Raw genomic sequence first — 22,553 nt, 5'->3', positions numbered from 1 at the left:
CGTTTCAGTGGATTTCCTTCCAGTCATTTTCTATGAATATTTATGTCCTTGGATTCATTTTCCGGGTATACTCTTCATCTTGCACTTTTCTTTTCTTCTTTTTTTTTTCGAGATGGAGTCTTGCTCTGCTGCCCAGGCTGGTGTGCAGTGGTACAATCTCGGCTCACCACAACCTCCGCCTATGGGTTCAAGTGATTCTCCTGCCTCAGCCTCCTGAGTAGCTGGGATTACAGGCACCCGCCTCCACACCTGGCTAATTTTTGTAGTAGAGATGGGGCTTCACCATGTTGGCCAGGCTGGTCTCAAACTCCTGACCTCAAAGGATCCGCCTGCCTCTTGCACTTTTAACTTAAAGTTGTAACATGAGCATTAGTCCAGAATGGATGAACTTTGGAGATATTTAGTATCTGGCTTTTTACATAAATCCTTCATCGACATCAGTACAATGAAAAGTATACATATTTTTCTATTCACAACAATAGAGACTCATTGTAACAAAAAAGCAAAGATCGCAGGAATATGTAATTTAGAAAGCAAGTTCCTTACACTCCCTCCTCCCCAGATATAATCATCATTATTGGTTAAGGTTTTCTTTACATATATTAATATTTATATATGTAAATGCATGAGCAATTTTTATTTTTCTTAATGGTTACATTGTGAAGTCATCAGAAGATAGGGAAGTATGCAGAATAAAATGGGAACAGCTCCTGGATTCCCAGCCTCGGCCTCCACTCTCTTCCCTAGAGGAAATAACAGTGAAGGATTTGAAAAGTATTCTTCAGCTGTGTTCCAAGGCCTTTACGCACATACATACACACGCTGCTATGTGTTGTTGATGCACGTATTTCTTCCATGTTGTGGCTGCATGTATTCCTTTGCATATTGTCAGTGGCTGCTTTTGCACTGGAGGAGCAGAATTGAGTATGTGTCACCGAGAGTGCTGCTCTCAAAGCCACATGACCTTCACCCCCTGGTTTCATGCCCACGAATATGTTACTTTACATGGCAAAGTGGCTGTGCAGATTAATTAAGGTAAATGGACTTTAAAATAGGGAAGTTATCCTGGGTTTTGAAAGTGGGTCCAGTGAAATCACATGCGCCTTTACAAGCAGAAGAGGAAGGCAGAGAGATTTGAGGCCTGGAGGGCTTGTGCTTGAAGGGCCGGTGGCGGGAAGCAGGGCTCTCAGTCCTATAGCCACAAGGAGCTGTCTTCTGTCCACAGCCTGAATGGTTCTTCCCCAGAGCCTCCACACAAGAGCCCAGCCGGCCAATACCTTGATTTTGGGCATGTGAGACCTCGAGCAGAGAATCCAGCCATGCTCTGCCAGCTTTCTGACCTGTAGGGTGGAGAGAAAAGAAATCATGTTGTTTTAAGTCACTGTGTTTGTGGTGATGTGTTATGCAGTGCAGAAAACAATACAGGTTTGTTTGTTTAGTATTGTAGATGCTTACTATCTGGCTCTTTACAGGCAAAGTGCTGGATTCCCTTATTTCCTTTTTAAGGGCTTCTGAACACTCCATGGTGTATTTCTACCATAATTTATTTGACCACTAGAAGACAAAGTTTTCTCGGACATTCAAGAAATGTAGCAACAAAGTCTTTGTGCACGTGACTAAATACCTCTTTAGGACTGATTTCTAAAACACAATTTCTTTTTTTATTTTTATTTTTTATTTCTTGAGATGGAGTCTCACTCTGTCGCCCAGGTTGGAGTACAGTGGCATGATCTTGGCTCACTGCAACCTCCGCCTCCAGGGTTCAAGTGATTCTGGTGCCTCAGTCTCCCCAGTAGCTGGGATTACAGGTGTGCACCATCACGCCCAGCTAATTTTTGTATTTTTAGTAGAGGTAAGGTTTTGCCATGTTGGCCAAGTTGGTCTTAAACTCCTGACCTCAGGTGATTCACCTGCCTCGGCCTCCCAAAGTGCTGGGACTGCAGGCATGAGCCACTGCGCCCGGCCTAAAACGATGATTTCTGATTCAAGGAGCATACCAATTTTAAATTTTGTTAGACACTGCCAAATTGCCCTCCAGAGAGGTGACAGATAAGCTGAGGTATATGAGGTGCTGCTTAGACAGCAGGTACCAGGATGGCTGGTCAGGCTTGGGAAAGCTCTGAGACTTAGGGTCCTCTGGAAGGTTGCAGAGTCCATTAACAAGGCTCTCTCGTGGACCTGGAAAATGGCAGAAAGTTTGCATCTAGAGGCCTCTCTTGAAGCCTTCCAGCATCACTATCAAATCTAAAGCAAGTCTGCAGCACAGAGTTAAGCGCTGACTGTACGTGGATCGTTTCTGTTCACTTTAAGTCATGTGATGCTCATGGCTAATGGGTGAGGAAGGCCTTATCAACCCTGTTTCAAATGGAATCTGCCACGTGCAGCAGTCTGTCTCCTGAAGGTGGCACAGATGAGCTTTGAACCCAGTTGCTGAGAATCTAAAATCCAATCTCCACCACCCCACCAGAGGGGCAAGTCTATCTCCTGCCCCTTCTGAAACAGCCTGCCCTTCAGAGCAGGCTTTTGCTGAGTGAGAACCGAGCTCAGGAGTGTTCCTGTTCTATTTTCTGGTTTGGATGCTGGTTGTGGAGGTGAACTCACTGTGTGAGAATTCACTGGCCTGCCCCATTTGTGAATGTTTTGTATGTATGCTATACTTTGATTTTTAAAATTTGCTTTAGGAAACAAATCAAAAGATTAGATTGTCTACCTCATACAGCAAAACAAAGCATCTGCCCCCAACATCTGTGGTGGGAAATGATTTCCTTCTGAGACAGACAGCACCAGCAAAAAGGACTATATCGTTCTCTTCCACCCATGTCACTCATTTTCTAACAGAGACCATGCCACATGGCTGCTCTGCTCAGCAACTCCTCACTTCCTGGGCCCCAGCCCTGACCCCTTTGTCTCTCAGTGCTTTCCAACAGCCTTCCTGCCTCAGCCAGCCTTCACTTACCAGTTGCTGACCCCATGGAGCCATCATATAACTCTAGGCCTTCATCCACTTGGGATCCTCTACCCAAACGCCCTAGGTTTGCTAAGAAAGTTCCTAACCTAACAGGAAACCAAGTACCTACCACAGGTTGTCACTTATAAGTGGTTGCTAAACAATGAGAACACATGGACACAAAGAGGGGAACAACAGACACCGGGACCTACTTGAAGGTGGAGGCTGGGAGGAGGGGGAGGATCAGAAAAAATACCTATGGTATGGGTACCATGCCTATTGCCTGGGTGATCAAATAATCTGTATGCCAAACCCTTATGATGCAATTTACCTATGTAACAAATTTGCACATGTACCTGTGAACCTAAAATAAAAGTTAAAAAAAAAGAAAGTTCCAGACCTCACACAGCACGTGGTACATACTAGGCACCTGACATTTGATGACCAAATGAATGAACAAACCGTTACTCTGAGTCTAAACAGCCTCCAACAGACCGCCCCCTCTGCCGACAAGCTTATTCGTGGGCTCAGTTAGATTTCTTATATCAATTTGATCCCAAATCCTTGACCCACTGGCTTTGTTTCTTGACAATGAGGTCACATGCACCAGACAACCATCAGTTCACCTTCCAAAGGAAGTCTCTTCTGGAATCTCCTGAACCACCGCACTGGATGCCACTGGATGGCATCACAGCTTTTCTTCTAGAATCTCTTCAACGTCATCTTGATGATGTCGTTTGCATCTCTCTACATTGGACCTACTATTTCCTGTATCCCCCATATTGTCTTCTCACTTGATTTAGTCTTTCATTTTGTTTGAGAACATCCTTCAGGAGTTTCTTGAGATAGAATGTGTGGGATGTAAATATTTGGAGAACTTACATCTGCAGGTGTCTTTATTTTACTCTTGCCCTTGGTTGGTAGCTTGGCTGAGGAGAGAGGTCATGTGGGCAGGAGGTGGTTTTCAGGCGGAATGGAGGGCATGTTACTGCTCCTTTGCCAGCTGAGTTCTACCATTGCTCTTTAGAAGGCCTTGGCACCTTCCCCCTCTCTCTCATTCCCTCTGTCACTGTGTGACCTCTGCACAAGCAGGCTCCCCTTCACCTCTGCCATGAGTGGAAGCTCCCAAGGCCTCCCCAGGAGCAGATGCTGGCACCGTGCTTCCTGTGCAGAATGCAGAACCATGAGCCAAATATACCTCTTTCCTTTACCAGTTTCCCAGCTCAGGTATTCCTTTGTCACTAAGACAGATACCTATGTCATAATCTCTGGAACCTGTGATCATGTTACTTTACATGACAAAAGAGACTTAGCAAATGGGACTAAGTTAAGGATTTCAGAATTGGGAGATTATTCTGGACTATCTGGGTAGCCCAATGTGATCACAAGGATCCTAATAAGAGAAGCAGGAGGGTCAGAGAAGGAGGTGTGAGGATGGAAGCCAGGGCTAGGGTGGGGAGAGGGAGAGAGACATGACAATGTTAACCTGCTGGCTCTGAAGATGGAGGGAGGGGCCATGAGCCAACCAATGCTGGTGGCCAGTAGAAGCTAGAAAAGGCAAGAAACAGATTTTCCCCTGGATCCTCCAGAAAGGGGCACTGAACAGCCAACACCTGGATTTTTAGCCTTGTGAAACTCATTTTGGATTTCTGACCTCCAGAATTTATAAACTCACGTTGTTTTAAGCCACAAAATGTGTAGTTCTTTTTTAATAGCAGCAATGGGAAATGAACACAAATGCATTCTGTCATTCTGGTTCTTGATCTTCTCTTTCTCTGTCTCCGCATTCTTGTGGGGCGTCTGTCTCCAGCGTCCTAAGGTTGCATGATGATGTGCCTTGGTGGGGCACTTGGTGGGCCCTTTCAATGTGGACACTCATCTTCTAGTTGCCAGATTCCTCCCCCTCTGTCCCCATCCATCTTTGGGCTTCCTCTGTTCTCTTTTTCTGAAACTCTTATTATTTGGATACTGAGACTCATGGACCAGTCCTTTCAGGTTCTGAACTTTTCTCCTTTATTTTCCAACTCTTTCTCTTTCTGTCTACCTTCTGCCCTTTTATCTTCTAAAGCTTCTTTTGAGCTTTTCATTCCAGCAATCATGATTTTAATTCCCAAGAATTCTTTTTGGTTCTCTTGATGTTTATTTCTATTACATTCTGCTGTGTTTCATGGTTGCAATATCTTTTTTTATCTTCCTGGGGATATTAATGACTTTTCTAAAAAAAAAAATGCTTCCTGTGAAAAGCTCTTCTCCAAATTGCCATTCTCTGTTTGTCTATATCCTGGGCCACATCCGTCTCCATTCTAGTCCCACCTTTCGTGTTAGAGATTTTCCTCTCATCGTCTCCACACACCCAGGAGTGGGATACTAACACACGTATTGGAAACTGCAGGCGTGACTGGCCTGCCAACCTGGAGCTTGGCAGGAGCGTGCTGTGCTGGGTCATCTCACTGGGGTAGTCCCTGTGCTATCCCTCAAATTCCATCCAGAAAGATCCTCCAGTTTGTGGCCTCAGGGTGAAAACGTCCAAAAACTGATTAGGAAAGATGGCTAGAGACTTCAGCATCCAAAATACATATAATCTTTTACTTAGATGTGTTGGGATGACAACGCTGACCTCAGCTGTGCTGCTGCTGCTCCCGGTGCAAAAGACTCACTTTTTATCCTCTCCCCAAAATAAATCTCTCGTCTTCTGCTAGGTTGGGAGAAGAACAATCACCAAAAATGCAGAGTGGGGAGCGGGCCTGAGTGTTGGACCTCTCCTTAAACAAACCTTCCTGCAGCCTCCAGGTCACCATCCTTGTCACCTCTACTGCCAGAGACATCGAGTGCCTTGAAGTCCTGGGCTTTCCGGGGATTCTGTGGGGTAAGTCTGGCTGAGCTTCATCTTTCTCCATTGCCAGCTCAGGGCTTGGTCTTCCTGGGGCTGCCAGGTGTGTCATTTCCATGCTCCCTCTGCGTTCCAGCTTCCAGGACTGTGCTGCCGTGCTTCCTCTCCTTTAAAGCAAGTCTTCTATCATCACCAGCGAGGGGCCATGGAAGGAGCAGACTAGACTGCTCAATCTGCTGTCTCCACCTGGCGGACCTACCATGTGATTCACTTACAGACAGTTGGTTTGTTTTTGTTTTTTGTTTCTCTTTTTGACACTGAGTTTCGCTCTTGTTGCCCAAGCCGGAGTGCAGTGGCTCGATCTCGGCTCACCACAACCTCTACCTCCCGGGTTCAAGTGATTCTCCTGCCTCAGCCACCCGAGTAGGTGGGATTACAGGAACCCACCACCACACCTGGCTGATTTTCTACTTTTAGTAAAGATGGGGTTTCTCTATGTTGATCAGGCTGGTCTGAAACTACCGACTTCAGGACCGCCTGCCTCGGCCTTCCAAAGTGCGGGGATTACTGGCATGAGCCACTGCCCCTGGTCAAGAATTGGTTTTTAATGCTTCCTTCCTCCATACAACAGAATTCTTTTCAATAATGATCATTAAACAAAAGGAATAATAATAATGTCCAGAAAAGAACTGCTGTAGATAGTGAAAATTTTTTTATTGAACTTTGTATATGTAATCATGCTGGCACATATGTTAAAAAAAGGTAAAAAGTCATGGATTAATTTTTTTAATCATAATTTTTAAAGGGGATTATTTTACTGCAGTTCACACACTGTTTCATTGTTTTACATTTTAAACAGAAATAGCTGGGCGGATCACCTGAGGCCAGGAGTTTGAGACTAGCCTGGCCAACATGGTGAAACCCCGTCTCTATGAAAAATACAAAAATTAGCCAGGCGTGGTGGCACATATCTGTAGTCCCAGCTACTTGGGAGGCTGAGGAGAAGAATCGCTTGAACCGGGGAGGCAGAGGTTGCAATGAGCTGAGATCGCACCACTGCACTCCAGCCTGGGTGACAGAGTGAGACTCCAGCTCAAATAAATAAATAAATAAATAAAAATTTTAAACAGAAATAAAAACTTCAAGTTACCTATAAAAGAATAACAGAACTGAAGTAATTCAAGTTCTGTTTCTTCCCCTGCAGAATCACTGTTAGCATTGTTTATTTTGAATCTACTGCTTAAAAGCAGGAACGTGTTGTGTGCAGACCATTGACAGGTTGGAAATAGGAGTTCAGAGAGTGCTTACGTGATTCCACACTTACAAGGAATGTATGTAGCTGAATCTGCCAGCACTGGGGGCCAACCTTGTAACTGGGAGTTCTCTGAATTAACTTCCATTAGCATGCATTCTTGATTAAAAGGTAAGTAATAAACATGCGCTAACTCAAAGTGTGCACATACACACTGAAAATGTAGCATGTTTTATTACATATTGATTTTATATATTTTCTTAAGTATACATTTATTCTATATATAAATGTGAAATACATACATAATGTGAGTATATATGTGTGTGTATGTTTACATATATATATATAAAATGTCTCCATTGTCAATGCCTCCTCATCCTTGAATCTAGGGAAACTGTTTCCACTGCACTGCCCTTAGGACATATGTCACATTCTGGAAATTCTAAAAAAATATTTTTAATGAAAAATTCTTTGACCACCCACTGTCCTCCAGATAAAAGCAGGAAGCTTTTATCTGTGTTCTCTTAATATACATATTTAACGGAGTCCTCTTCTGGGTCATGTTGGCTCACTGTCACCAGGTCAGGCAAGTCCATGTTACCAGCACCTTCGGTTTAATGCTGAAATCAAAAGCCCTCCTCTGATTAAGTTCAGGAGCAGCTTCCGCTCCCATCCAGCTCCGTGAGAGTGGATGATTTCCCTGGCCATATGGCAGGTGGAGGGAGTGATTAACCCCCTGTGAGGCCTCTGTGTTCCTTGGCTCTGCCGGCTCCTCCCTCCTCGAGCAGCCCGAGGCCCACCTGTGAATCTCGAGCATCTGCCGGCAGGCCCAGCCTGGTCATCAGCAGCTCTATGGCTGCTGTGTGTCTGTATTTGTATTACTGTATTTTATAAGACAGCTGCCCCCTTACTTTTCTGCCTCAGCTTTTGAACTTTCCTTTGCACGTTGTCACCAGTGATAAAGCTGATGCTGTCTCTAAGGGCGGGTGAAGCTGACAGCCCTTTTTCACCTGGCTTCATCCAAGGCCCATCCACAGTCCTGGGCCTGAGTGAGCAAGGGACCCTTGCTTTTTTCTTTTTTAAATGTGGATATGCAACTAAATGTTTTATTTTCTACACTGTCCTGGAAGAAGCAATAGGTCAGCCAGACCAGAGGCCCTCTTGAATATATAGCCTCTAGTTAACCGTCTTACAGAAAACTCAAACTCTTTCCCTTCATCATATCATCTTTTTCTCCTACAACTTTTATTTTAACAAACTTCAAATACACCCCAAATGTTAAAAGAATAATACAATGAAAAACGATATAACCTGTCAATTCACCAACTGTTAACATTCTATCACATTTTGTTTTAGAATTTTCTCTCTTCATATACACACACATACACACATATACATTTTAAAACATCATTTGAAATTAAATTTCAGTCATCATATTCTACCTGTAAATACATCAACATGTATTTCTTAAGAGATATTCTCCTGCACAAAACTCAGCAAATTTAACATTATTGATACACAGCATTGCTTAATATATAGTTTATATTCAAATTTCCCCAATTGTACCAACAGCATTCTTTACAGATTTATTTGATCAATAACCTAATCAAAGATGGCTTTCATTTGCTGTGCTTCTTCATCTCCTTTAAGCTAGAATAGTTCCCCTTCATTTATGTGCACCTGTGTATGTGTTTTGTGACATTAATATTTTTAGAGCCCAGGCTAGTTGATTTCCAGAATGTCCTGGATTTGAGTTTTCCTGAAGCTTATTTGTGATTAAATTTGGGTTCTTGAAAAGAATACCAGAGAAGTGATCCTCTGCCCCCAGTGTAACTCAACAGGTGGGACATGATGCCTCTTTGCTCCTTTATTGCCCAAATTAGGATTGCTCTGGCTGGGCACGTTGGCTCACACCTGTAATCCCAGCACTTTGGGAGGCCGAGGCAGGCAGATCACTTGAGGTCAGGAGTTCGAGACCAGCCCGGCCAATATAGTGAAACCCTGTCTTTACTAAAAATACAAAAATTAGTCGGGTGGGGTGGCACACGTCTGTAATCCTATCTAGTCAGGAGGCTGAGGCAAGAGAATCACTTGAACCTGGGAGGCGGAGGTTGCAGTGAGCTGAGATCACGCCAATGTACTCCAGCCTGGGCGACAGACCAAGACTCCGTCTCAAAAAAAAAAAAAAAAAAGAAATAGGATTGATCACTTCATTAAGGTATCAGTAGAGGTAGAGATGCAAAGAGCCCTCCCTCTTTGCAAGAAACCAGGCTTTTAAATCCTTTCTTGCATTGTAGTTTCTATCCAAGTGCTGTGCACATAGTAACTGACAGTCAAAATAGAAGAAAAGCAAATATCTGTTGGGCTTTCTCTTTTTTTTTTTTTTGGAGATGGAATCTCGCTCTGCCACCCAGGCTTGAGTGCAGTGGTGCGATCTTGGCTCAGTGCAAGCTCTGCCTCCCAGGTTCACACCATTCTCCTGCCTCAGCCTCCCGAGTAGCTGGGGCTACAGGCACCCACCACCACGCCCAGCTAATTTTTTGTATTTTCAGTGGAGATGGGGTTTCACCATGCTAGCCAGGATGGTCTCGATCCCCGACCTTGTGATCCGCCCGCCTCAGCCTCCCAAAGTCTGTTGGACTTTCTCTACAGGTCACATATAATATCTCACTTAATTCTGTCAACCTGAGAGTCATCCTTATCCCCATTTTACAGATGAGGTAGTTGATGCTGAGAAAGATTAGGTGGCACCCTAAGAGGTATACTGGGAGTCAGACGCATGATCTGTGTCATTTCCCTGCCCTACCCTAACGAGAAGTCTGTTCCCATCTCCTTAGTCTGGGGCAGTGGAAATGGTGCCTGACTTGTTTCTGTAAACTTTGGCAATGGGAATACCCTGGGACTCTAAAAACCTCCACTGGCCAGACATGGTGGAAAGTGTCTTTAAAACCATGTCAGAGCTCCTGTTTCCAAAGCAGATGTTTGGGTCAGCGCTCATTTATTACTTGCTGACATCGAGTAACCTCTTAAATCCTGAAAATTCTAGTTTTGAGAAATCAGACTGTCACTAACAAGTCAGCATGTCAGAATAAATAAAGCAGAAAATTGAAGCACGTTATGTTGGCTTTCCCAAAGGCATTCTAGAGATCACTAATAGAGCACTCAAAGGCACGAAAAGGCGGGGCTGCTCATGGCCTCTTGGCATCCCAGCTCCCTTTCTTTCACATGGAAATAGGACCTCCCATTTTTAGCTGGGCAGATGGCTGCCCATATGGCTGCCCAGAATAAGAACTACATTTCCCAGCCTTCCTTATAGCCAGGCTCCATCATGTCGGCACACCATGTGAGCCACATGTACAATTCCCAGCTACATCCTTAGAGGAAAGAGGCCTGTCCTCCCTCTCCCCCTTTCATCTGGAGCATAGAAGGTGGACGAGGTGAAGACTGTATTGTAAATATAGCAATGGTGGAGGTGAATAGGGAATGCCTTGTGACTAGGGACATGGCTGGGTGGAACACAGATGTGCAAGGGTGAGTGAGCCCCACATGGGACCATGTGGATGGGGCCGTGTCCTGGGATGGCTGAAGGAGCTGGGGTTTCTCGCTGAAAAGCCTCTTACCAGCCCTGAACTGCTCATGCCCATACTATTATGTAAGAGAAATACACATCTTTCTTTCTAAAGCCACTCTGATTTGGGAACATTGTTTAGGACAGCTGAACCCATGTCCAAACTAATACCCCAGGCCAAATCAACTTCATCTTCTCCCAACTGTCCTAGTCCACTTACACTGCCATTCTAAGCACAGCTGGCACCTCCACACATGCTTTTGCTGATGAGCCTTGCATAGGCCATTTCCTCTCTTCCCCTCTCTTCCTCTGCCTGGTAAACTCCTGCTCAACCTTCCACGCTCCACCCAGATACCCACTCCTCCTGGAGCCTTCCCTACCTCCTATCCCTTGCCAGGCAGGATTCATTACTTCCTCCTCTTTGAGCCTATATGAAACTGTCTGTAGCTCTCTTAGCATTTACCCTGTGGTGCCCTAATTATTCGCTGCTGTGTTGATCTCTCAAACTAGACTGAAGTTTCCTTAGAATCAGGGACCTAATTTCCTGCAGGTTTGAATCCCCAGCACTAACTTTGTAAAAGGCACTAGGAAATCTTTGGTGACTGGATGAATGAACACAGATGATATAATTACATGTGTACCCATACAGATCCTCATTCTTTTAAAAAGTGTTTCCTTCTTTGCTAAGACAACACTTGTGAATAGCACACCCATTCCTCCTACAGAAACTCAACGAGCACAAATCTACTATTACATAATACATAAGCCAGGGGATTCATTATACATTGCGTGAAAACCTGCTTTGCAGATTTGTCAGGTCTCCTTAACAAAACAATCCTGCCATAGACCCACCCGCTCTGGTATTGCAGCGACTGCAGGATTTTAAATCAAAGGCTTTTCTCAGTCTCTCTCTGTCTTCTTTCAGCTCAGAGCAGGCAATCTGGACTGCAGTACTAGCAGTTTCCAGAAAATGCTCAGGCGTGCTCACAGCTAACAAAGAGATGAGCGCTATTTCCTGCCCTGGAACGCTGGAGAGTTCAAGGGCTTCTGAGGCTAGAGTGTTCTGATCCAGTGAGTGTCATGCTTTGCTTTGATTCTGTGTCAGATATCACACCAACTCCAGCAAGTCTGCAGGTGCATTTTATACTAATTTTGTACTAACACTAATATTGTTATTCAAAATTAATTTTCCCTGTCTAGAAATATAATTCTAGCATTTTCTAGGTTTTGACACAACTTGTATGCAAGTCTTAGAACCCTTCCATGCCCATGGCACGCTGCTGGATGTGTCTCAGAACTCATCTGGAAACCCTCTGGGACTGAATCTGCCCCATTTTAAACACTCCTGTAGATGGCCTCTCTGTTCTCATGTTGAGCATGGATTTTATTTTTATGGAGATTTATCTTAAATATCCTTAATTTGTAAATATCCTGAAATTATTCTCAGAAAAAAATCCACTGTCTAGCTCATCCCTCTAACTGAGGATTTTAAAAATTAACTGAGAACACGGATTCCCTTCTCTGGGCATGCATTACTAAAGTCCATAGAATGCCTATATTATCCATTTATGTGCTTTTTGCTTAATTTTCTGTCTCCTTGAGCTAATACATAAGCTTCAATAAGAGTGGGCGCCTGTTCATTCTCGCTGTATCCCCAACACCTGGCACGTGGGAGGCACTGGATGGATCTGCAGAGTGAATGCATGATTGTGTCTTCTTGTGTAGATGCCTTTGCTGCCTCAGGTGATCACTTGAGTGGGCCATGCCTGGGCTATTGGAAAAGCAAGGCTTGTTTTGAGTGCTTGTCGCCCTGCTGTCTTCACTCCTCCTCCTTCCCTCTGTCAAGCATGTGGCACCAGGCTGACCCCCAGGCCTCTGCTCTTGCCATCAACACATGCTGTCTCCCCTTATGGTTCAAGATTTTTGTTTTGTTTCCCTGATTTCTTTCAAGCACCCCCTCAGGTTAATTAGATTAACTAATTTGTCCATAAGATGGATCATTTTGAATGCCTTAAATACTTTGGACAAAAATTAAGATTGGCTGGGTGCGGTGGCTCACGCCTGTAATCCCAGCACTTTGGGAGGCCAAGGCTGGTGGATCACGAGATCAGGAGTTCAAGACCAGCCTGGCCAAGATGGTGAAACCCTGTCTCTACTAAAAATACAAAAATTAGCCAGGCGTGGTGGCAGGCGCATGTAATCCCAGCTACTCGGCAGGCTGAGGCAGAGAATTGCTTGAACCCAGGAGGCGGAGGTCGCAGTGAGCCAAGATCGTGCCACTGCACTGCAGCCTGGGTGACAGAGCGAGACTCCATCTAAAAAAAAAAAATTAAGGTTATTTTCAGAAGATAGTGGCAAAGATATGTTTTTCAAAAGGGACTAAATCAGGACAGTCTTAAGTAAGCAGACAAGGAAGGCTGTCAGTTTCTTATGTAACAGTGATATCAGGGGACAAGGATATCATTGATACAATGATACTGTTGTTACATACGGAGAGAGAGAGAGAGAGAAGAGGAGAGAGAGTGCATACTGCCAAGTTTTCAACAGACACAGAGTCCCATTCAACAGATATTTATTAAACCTCTACTCTGCACCAGGTGCTCTTCTAGATGCTGAGGACAAGACAGACAGAGTCTCTGTTCTCTAGGAACATCCATCCTACATCAGCACTGTCCAGTGGAAATAGAGTGGGAATCACAAATGCAAGCCACATGGGATTCTAAAATTTTCTAGTAGGACTAGACAACATAGCAAGACCCTATCTCTATAAAATTAAAAATTAGCCAGGTGTGGTGGCATGTGCCTATAGTCCCAGCTACTTGGGAAACTGAGGTGGGAAGAGCGCTTGAGCCTGGGAGGTCCATGCTGCAGTGAGCTGTGATTGTGTCACTGCACTCCAGCATGGGTGACAGAGCAAGACCCTGTCTCAAAAAACAACAACAACAAAAATTCTAGTAGACACATTAACAAAGTAAAAAGAAACAAATGAAATTAATTTTAATAATAAATTGTGGTTAATCCAATATATCCAAAGCATTCTCATTTCAACATACAATCAATATGAAAATGATTAAGATATTTTACATTCTTTTTTTAGGCTAAGTCTTCAAAATCCAGTGTGTATTTGACACAGCACATCTCATTTCAAACAAGTCATACTTCAGGTGCTCATAGCCATCAATGGCTAGTGGCTACCACATCAGACAGTGCCATTCTAAACAATAAGCAAGCCAATAAATACAGATATAATACATAATAAAGATGTATATAAATAGGCCAGGCTCAGTGGCTCACGCCTGTAATGCCAACACTTTGGAAGGCTGAAGTGGGTGGATCACGAGGTCAAGAGATCAAGACCAGCCTGACCAACATGGCAAAACCCTGTCTCTACTAAGAACACAAAAAATTAGCCAGGCATGATGGTGGGTGCCTGTAATCCCAGCTACTCAGGAGGCTGAGGCAGGAGAATCACTTGAACTTGGGAGGCGGAGGTTGCAGTGAGCCAAGGTCGCACCATTGCAGTCTAGCCTGGATGACAGAGCAAGGGTCGCTCTCAAAAAAAAGAAAGAAAGAAGGAAGGAAGGAGGGAGGGAAAGAAGGAAGGAAAGAAAAGAAGGGAAATTTTTCTTCTTTTTTTGAGACAGAGTTTCACTCCTGTTGCCCAGGCTGAAGTACAATGGCGTGATCTCGGCTCACCACAGCCTCCACCTCCTGGGTTCAAGCGATTCTCCTGCCTCAGCCTCCCCAGTAGCTGGGATTACAGGCATGTGCCACCACGCCTGCCTAATTTTGTATTTTTAGTAGATACGGGGTTTCTCTGTGTTGGTCAGGCTGGTCTCCAACTCCCAACCTCAGGTGATCCGCCTGCCTCGGCATCCCAAAGTGCTGGGATTACAGACGTGAGCTACTGTGCCCGGCCATGAAAGAAGAGAAATTAATTCTAAATGTTACTACCCTCCATACCAGCTTTGCCTGACTAATTGGCTCCCTTCCTATGTAGGCTGCCATCTCTTCATAATCTGACTTGGTTGTGCTACTTCAATACAGCAGCCTTTTCACACCTGTCACAGTGCTCCCTAGGTTTTGGTTTCATCTCCAAATAAACACAGAGAGCTTTAACTTAGAGGTAGAACTACATGTTGTTTCCAACATTTTTGAACTTGGTCTTTGTGAACTGCTTTTGGTGCCACAATTTTGTCTTTTCCAGCATTTTGTTCTTTGTCACATGCCCAGGTCCTCCCAGACCTCTCTTCTTATGGTCCTCCCAGCACTGTCAGGCAGTAGCCCAGATGTGGATTGGTACACATCCCTCTACTCGGCTGAAAATTTGCATGTTCTTGTGTTGATATATCACATTATATCCTGAGGCAGAAGAAAACTAAAAGATTCTGAAGGATTGAAAGAGTTTTCTGCTGCAGTAGCAATAGTTCAAATACCATATTAGTCAGGGCAAGTAATGCTAGCTGCCGTCATAGACAAATCCAAATCTCATTGGTTTAACCCAACTAAGAGGTTATCTCTTATTTGCTTCACAGACCAATGCAAATTGTTGGTGGTGGCAGGGGTTACTCTGCTCCATGTAGTCTGTAGTCATTCAAGGACCCAGGCTCTTTCCATTGTGCAGCTCCACACCATCTAGGAATCCTCCACTCTTCATCTAGTTGGTAGACAAGCGACAACACAGAGAGAGAGGTTTTCTAGGTCAGGCCTGGTCACAGTACATAGCACTTCCCTCCACGCTCCATTGGCCAGAAGTCAGCCTCACAAGCCCAAGAGGCTACAAGGGTGTCTGGAAAATGTAGTCTAGCAGAACGGCCATGGGGAAGAAGCTTGGCGATCCCTGCCACAAATATGGCTTTAATACGTCATGGAAATCACAGTTTTGTCCAAAGCTGCACAGCTAAGTGAGCCAGGGATGGTTTGAAAACCATAAAGAATGGATTTGTTCTTAGGGGGACACTCTGCCTTAAGTTGCTTTGCTAATAATTATTTAAATCCCAGCATCTGAGAGTCTAGAGAGACTGGAGAGTTATTTGTTATGGTTTTCTAGTAGTTGCTTGGTTTCCTTTTCTTTTCTTCTTTTTTTTAAGAGACAGGGTTGGCTGGGCGCGGTGGCTGATGCCTATAATCCCAGCACTTTGGGAGGCAGAGGCGGACGGATCACTTGAGGTCAAGAGTTCAAGACTAGCCTGGTGAACATGGTGAAACCCCGTCTCTACTAAAAATACAAAAAATTAGCCAGGTATGCTGGTGGGCACCTGTAATCCCAGCTACTGGGGAGGCTGAGGCAGGAGAATTGCTTGAACCCAGGAGGTGGAGGTTGCAGTGAGCCAAGATCACGCCATTGCACTCCAGCCTGGGTGACAGAGTGAGACTCCATCTCAAAAAAAAAAAAAAAAAAGAGAGAGACAGCGTCTCGCTCTGTCACCCAGGCTAGAGTCCAAAGGTGAGATAATAGCTCACTGCAGCCTCAAACTCCTGGGCTCGAGCAATCCTCCTGCCTCAGCCTCCTCAGTAGCTAAGACTACCGGTGCACATAACCACACCCAGCTAATTTTTAAATGTTTTTTGTCTTGTTATGATGCCCAGGCTGGTCTCAAACTCCTGGCCTCAAGGGTTTCTCCTGCCGTGGCCTCCCAAGGTGCTGGGATTATAGGTGTGAGCCACCACACCCGGCCTAGTTTCCTTTTTTTATATCTAGAGCTCTGATCCATTTGAAATTTGTTCATGTGTGAGGAAGATATGAAGATGGACCTTTTTCCAAAAAGCTTACCAGCTGTCTGGGGTTATTTGTTTAAAAATCCACCTTTGTCTCAGTTGATTTGAGATGCCACCTTCATCAAATACTAAATTTCTATATGAGGGTGGGTTTATTTTTAGACTTTCTATTCTATTTCACTAGTCTGTTTGTCTATTTATGTGCCAGTAGCACACTGTTTAAAACGTATGCTTTCATGTCTGGTAAGGCATTCTTGCCTACCAGACATTAAAGGCTCTTCTTGCATTTTTAAAATAAGAGCTTTAGTATCAATTATCTAGCTCCACAAAGGAGTTTGTTGCTATTTTTATTGGGATTGTTTAACACTTATAAATGAAAGAGGACTGGCATCTTTCTGATGTTGTCATCCTATCCAAGAATAAAGAAAGTCTTTCCATTTGTTCATATCTTTTTCTGTGTCTTTCAGGGGGGTTTAATACGGGTTTTGCATATTTCTTGTTAAGTTTGTTCCTAAATATTTTATCTTCTTTGTTGTATTGGAGATTTTCTCTCCCTTAATATCCTCTAACTAGTTATTTTTCAAACATGAAATTCATTTATGTTTCATTTACACTTCATACACATAGCCTGAAGGTGATTTTATACAATATTTGAATTTTTTTTTTTTTTGAGAGGAAGTCTCTGTCACCCAGGCTGGAGTGCATTGGTGTGATCTTGGCTCACTGCAAAGCTGGGACTACAGCTGGGACTACAGGTGCGTGCCACCATGCCCCGCTCATTTTGGTATTTTTAGTAGAGATGGGATTTCACCATGTTGGCCAGGCTGGTCTTGAACCCCTGGCCTCAAGTGATCAGTCTGCCTCGGCCTCCCAAAGTGCTGGGATTACAGGCGTAAGCCACCATGTCTGGCCAATAGTTAAAATAATTTTGTGCATGAAGCAAAGCATGAATGCCTTGAACCATCAGAAAGCAAACGGGTTACTTTCTCAACCACCCATATCAACAATCTGCAGCATCATGATAGAACTCAAAAAGTTTTGAATTTTGGATTTTTGGATTAGAGATGTTCAACCTATATCTTATGAATTTTTATTTCTTTACTTTTGAGCCTCAGTGTTTTCAACCTGTGAAGTTCCTAAGAGACACCTGAGGAGTATCTTCAAATACAGATTCAGATACTGCCTTCCCCATCCAAGGTGGCAGGAAAATGTCAGGGAAGGGGGAGAGTTTTGTGGTGCTCTCCTTCTCTGGTCAAATCCCATTGGTTAATACCCAGACTGCAAACAGCACAGATGCAGGAGTCACAGAGAGTGGGGCTGGGCTGAGCAATGGGCTCAGCACCCTGTGAGTTATTGGGCTCAGCACCCTGTGAGTTATTGGATTGCCTGCCTGAGAGGACCAAGGAGAGAACCACCTCTCAGCAGTAGAAGCAAGGCATAGATATGCAAACTGCACAGAGACTGGGAATGCAAATGACAATAGCAGCCATGGGCAACAGAGCTGGAACTCCAGAGCAGAGCTGAGCACTAGGAAGTGAGAACCTTAAGGTAAGCCCCCAAAGGTGTGAGGACAGTGGCTTGAGACCCCTGTGGTTGCTTACTTATTTATGGAGATGGAGTCTCCTCTGTTGTCCAGACTGGAGTGCAATGGTGCGATCTCAGCTCACTGCAACCTCTGCTGGATTCAAGCAATTCTCCTGCCTCAGCCTCCGGAGTAACTGAGATTACAGGTGCCTGCCACCATGCCTGGCTAATTTTTTTTTTTTTTTTTTTTTTTGAGACGGAGTTTTGCTCTTGTTGCCGAGGCTGGAGTGCAATGGCTCAATCTGGGCTCACCACAACCTCTGCCTCCTGGGTTCAAGCTATTCTCCTGCCTCAGCCTCCCGAGTAGCTGGGATTACAGGCATGTGGCACCATGCCCAGCTAATTTTGTATTTTTAGTAGAGACGGGGTTTCTCCATGTTGGTCAGGCTGATCTCGAACTCCCAACCTCAGGTGATCTGCCCACCTTGGCCTCCCAAAGTACTGGGATTACAGGTGTGCACCACCATGCCTGGCTGCTTATTTACATATTCACATGTTTACTCTTGGACTTCAGGTGCAGAGGGCTGAGCCAATTACCCTCCTAATTTTGTGCCACTTCATGTGGTTGGCTCAGGGATGGTTGTTTTCTTCTTTTATTCTATTTCTATTTTTCTTCCTTCTTATTTACTTACTATTTTATTGTCTACTATTTACTTAGTACTTTAATTTTTATTATCCTTTTATTATTTAGTGTTGTTGCTATTTTTTACTTATCATTTTCTGTATCCCTCTCCCATGCTCCTTCCAAGCAAATTCAACCCATCTATTCTGTTTATAGTTCATGTTTTTCATAAAATATGTTTTGCTTGGGATGACTACGTTTTTAAATACATGTAAGTAGACTGTGTTGTAGATTTCATTCTGTGTTTCGCTCTGTCCCCCGGCACCCTGTATATAACATCCATCCTATTGTTTTGGATACCTCTGACCTTTGCTTCCAATTCTGCGTGACTTTCCATGGTGTGTCTAACATATCATACCTTCCACTCCCACGGAGATGGACGTTCAGGACACATGGACATCCAACCACAAAGAATGTGCTGACCCTCTGGACCTGTGTGAGCTGGAAAGGGAGACCCCAGCCATGGGGTGCGTGCGCTGACCTCCACTGAGCCGTGGCTGCCCACCCCCCAGAGAGGCAGGACCTCCCCCACAGTGCCCACCTGCCAGCCCTCCCACTGCCGAGCTATCCATGCCCCAATCCAGTGCAGCCTAGCATAGTCTGCTACAATGTGCCCGTGTTATTTAACTGTGCCTTTCTCTGACTGCTAATGATTTTGAGCCTCTCTTCAATGAGCATATTGGCTTTTTGAGATTCTGTTTCTGTCAATTCCCTATTCATATCCTTTGTCTTTTTTTTTTTTTTGAGATGGAGTCTTTGTTGCCTAGGCTGGAGCGCAGTCGTGCAATCTCAGCTCACTGAAACCTCCACCTCCCATGTTCAAGAGATTCTCCTGCCTCAGCCTCTTGCCTCAGCCTCCTGAGTAGCTGGGATTACAGGTGCCCGCCACCACGCCTGGCTCATTTTTGTCTTTTTAGTAGAGACGGGGTTTCACCATGTTGGCCATTGTTGGTCAGGCTGGTCTCAAACTCCTGACCTCAGGTGATCTGCCTGCCTCGTACTCCCAAAGTGCTGGGATTACAGGTGTGAGCCACTGCATTTGGCTTTTTTTTTTTTTCTGTTAGGACAGCTATTCTAATTATTCCTTCTTGTTGTTCTTCCTTCTTGTTGATTTTCAAGTGTTCCTTATACACTTTACAAATCAATTTCCATTTGTATTTGGCAAATATTTTCACCTCTTCTTTGTCTTCTCCCATGCCCATGGTGTCCTTTGTAGAAAGGACATTCTTGATTTTTATGTAACCAAATTTGTTTATTTGCCTTATGGTTTTGTTTTTAAATTTGTTTTAAATTTATTTTTAACTGACAAATAATAATTGCGTGTTTTGTTTTTTTGAGATGGAGTCTTGTTCTGTCACCCAGGCTGGAGTGCAGTGGTGCAATCTCAGCTCACTGCAGCCTCCGCCTCCTGGGTTCCAGCGATTCTCCTGCCTTAGCCTCCTGAGTAGCTGGGACTATAGGTGCGTGCCACCATACCCATTTAGTTTTTGTATTTTTAGTAGACACAGGGTTTCACCATGTTGCCCAGGCTCCTCTTGAACTCCTGACTTCAAGTGATTAGCCCGCCTCAGCTACCCAAAGTGCTGGGATTACAGGCGTGCACCACCATGCCCAGCCAATAATTGTGTTATTTATGGGGCACAATGTGATGTTTTGATCTATGTACACACTTTAGAAAGATTAAGTCAAACTACTTAATATATCTATCACCTCACCAACTTATTTTTTTTGATGATAAAAATCTGTTTTTTAGGAAATTTGAAATATACAATGCATTACTACTAACTATGGTCACTGTGCAGTGCAATAGATCACTAAAACGTATTCCTCCAGCCTAACTGAAACTTTGTACCCTCTGATCAACATCTTCCCTTTCCCTATTACTCCCTCTCCCCATCCCCTGGCAACCACCATTCTGCTCTCGGTTTCTATGAGATCGACTTATTTAGATTCCACAAATAAGGGAGATTATATAGTATTTGTCTTCCTGTGTCTGGCTTATTTCATTTAGTGCAATATCCTTCAGTTCCATCCACGTTGTCACACATGACAAGATTTCCTTCCTTTTTAAGGCTGTATAGTACTCCATTGTGTGTATGTACATACCACATTTTCCTTATCCATTCATTCGCTGATGGGTACTTAGGTTGCTTCCATTTTTCGGCTATTGTAAATAATGCTGAAATGAAGACAAGAATGCAGATATCTCTTTGACATACCTTTGGATTTAAATTATCTAGGACATACACCCAGGGATGAGATTGCTGGATGGTAAGTGTTTTTAAATTTTAATTTAAGAAGTTCTTCCCTTCACCTGAGTAACTAAGATATTCTCCTACATTCTCCTCTATTAACTTTTCAAGTTTATCTTTCACTTTTAGGTCTTTAATCCATATGGTGTTAGGTAGAGATTTGGCTTTATTTTTCCAATACCATTTACTTAACCACTTGCCACCTCTGGTTGTTACTCTTTTGTGGGGAGATATTAGTGATTCAACTAGATTCATATCCACATTGAAAATATTGGAAAAAATTATACACATGTCCCCAAGTTAATTTGCTTGGCATGCCTAAATTTAAATCATCCATTCAATTCTTTCAGTTATTCTTCATTAATCCCTTTATTTTAATAGCTTCAAGCCCTTTTAAATGTTGTGAGATAACAACTACATCCTGGTAAACTAAGGTTGCCAGGATCCTCAGTTAAATGTGAATTTCAGAAAAATAATGAGTAACTTTTTTAGTATAAGTATGTCTGTCTGGGCGTGGTGGCTCGTGCCTGTAATCCCAGCACTTTGGGAGGCTGAGGTGGGCAGATCTCCTGAGGTCAGGAGTTTGAGACCAGCCTGGCCAACATGGTGAAACCCTGTCTCTACTAAAAATACAAAAATTAGCCAGGCGTGGTGGCACACACCTGTAATCCCAGCTACTTGGGAGGCTGAGGCAGCACAATCGCTGGGACCCAGGAGGTGGAGGCTGCAGTGAGCCGAGATCGTACCACTGCACTACAGCCTGGTCAGCAGAGCAAGATTCTGTCTCAAAAAAATAATAGTAATAATAAGTATGCCCTATGCAACATTTGGGACACACTTATACTAAAAGGTTATTGATTGCATATTTGAAATTCACATTTAACTGAGCATTCTGTATTTTATCAGGTAACTCTATGGTATATCCAACCCAAAGGAACCTGTCCTACTCAGTCTTCTTGCCCTCCCCAACCCCTGCACCATTGCCCCCAGTTCCTGACCTGAGTCTTTCCAAATAACCTACCCTTAAATGAATATCTCAGTACTTCGCTAAGGGTTTAACTGGTAAAGCACTTTTTCACTAGCATCAATTATCACACTGTTGCTCTCAATTGTTAACCTGCTTACAGGTCACCGGGAACCTTGTTAAAATGCAGACTGTGATATAGTGGGTCTTGGATGCGGCCTGAATTCTATATTTCTAACAAGCTCCCAGGAGAGGTCTATGCTGCTGGTCTGGGGCCCACACGTTGGTAGGAAGGTTTTGCACATATCCCTCGGGGGCCTGGCTGTCAAACCTGCAAGCTGTTAGGAACCAGAACAAAGCCCAACTTGGCCCCCTATGCTCCTTTCTCTGACACTAAAGCCCAGAATTAGACAAGAGCCAGAGTTAAAGGAAAGCGAGGTTGCTGCGCACATGCAGGCAGCTCTCCTGGAGTCCTCGCAAGCTTCTCCTCCGGCTGTTGGAGCTGGATGCTCCCACCACTTGGCTTCCTGTGGGAACCATTGCTTTACCTTTGTGTCCCCTCCACACCCACTCACCTGCTTCTCTGGCTGTGATGATCTTGTCTTCTCATCCCTCTTCCTTGTTGGATGACAAATAATGTGTGGGGAGAGACGGTGGTGTGATCTCCGCATCTAGCTCGATGTCCAGCCTATGGCAGGTGCTTAGCAGATGCATAGAAGCTGAATGAATGAACGAAACGGTAAATGAATACTGACTTCTGTTGTCCAGAGTGTCCTGGAAACAATTTTTGTTTCACTTTTAAGGGGTGCCTGTAAA

General features: G+C 44.1%; 2 long non-coding RNA genes across 5 annotated transcripts in view; one reads left to right on the top strand and one right to left on the bottom strand.

Annotated features, from left to right (window-relative positions):
• Positions 1 to 22,553, top strand: part of LOC107986129 (uncharacterized) — a 90,956-nt gene that overhangs the window by 63,369 nt on the left and 5,034 nt on the right. For 2 of the 3 annotated variants that reach the window (XR_001740896.2, XR_001740898.2), the window contains one exon: positions 5,647 to 5,813. This is a non-coding gene — a long non-coding RNA (uncharacterized LOC107986129). Of the gene's footprint in view, positions 1 to 5,646; positions 5,814 to 5,913; positions 6,857 to 22,553 lie in introns of those variants that run through there. The other variant, XR_007096070.1, reaches the window with a different exon arrangement.
• LOC105374096 (uncharacterized) lies at positions 619 to 22,499 on the bottom strand. Of its 2 annotated transcripts, none has more exons than XR_001740899.2 (2): positions 22,313 to 22,499; positions 619 to 1,340 (listed from the first exon to the last, which is right to left on the bottom strand). It is a non-coding gene; the product is annotated as an uncharacterized LOC105374096 (long non-coding RNA). The 2 variants fall into 2 exon arrangements; XR_924461.2 differs by lacking the exon at positions 22,313 to 22,499 and adding an exon at positions 3,830 to 4,080.

The sequence above is a fragment of the Homo sapiens genome, chromosome 3 (genome assembly GCF_000001405.40).
Source record: "Homo sapiens chromosome 3, GRCh38.p14 Primary Assembly".
Classification (NCBI taxonomy): domain Eukaryota; kingdom Metazoa; phylum Chordata; class Mammalia; order Primates; family Hominidae; genus Homo; species Homo sapiens.
This window is presented reverse-complemented; position numbering and strand designations above follow the sequence as displayed.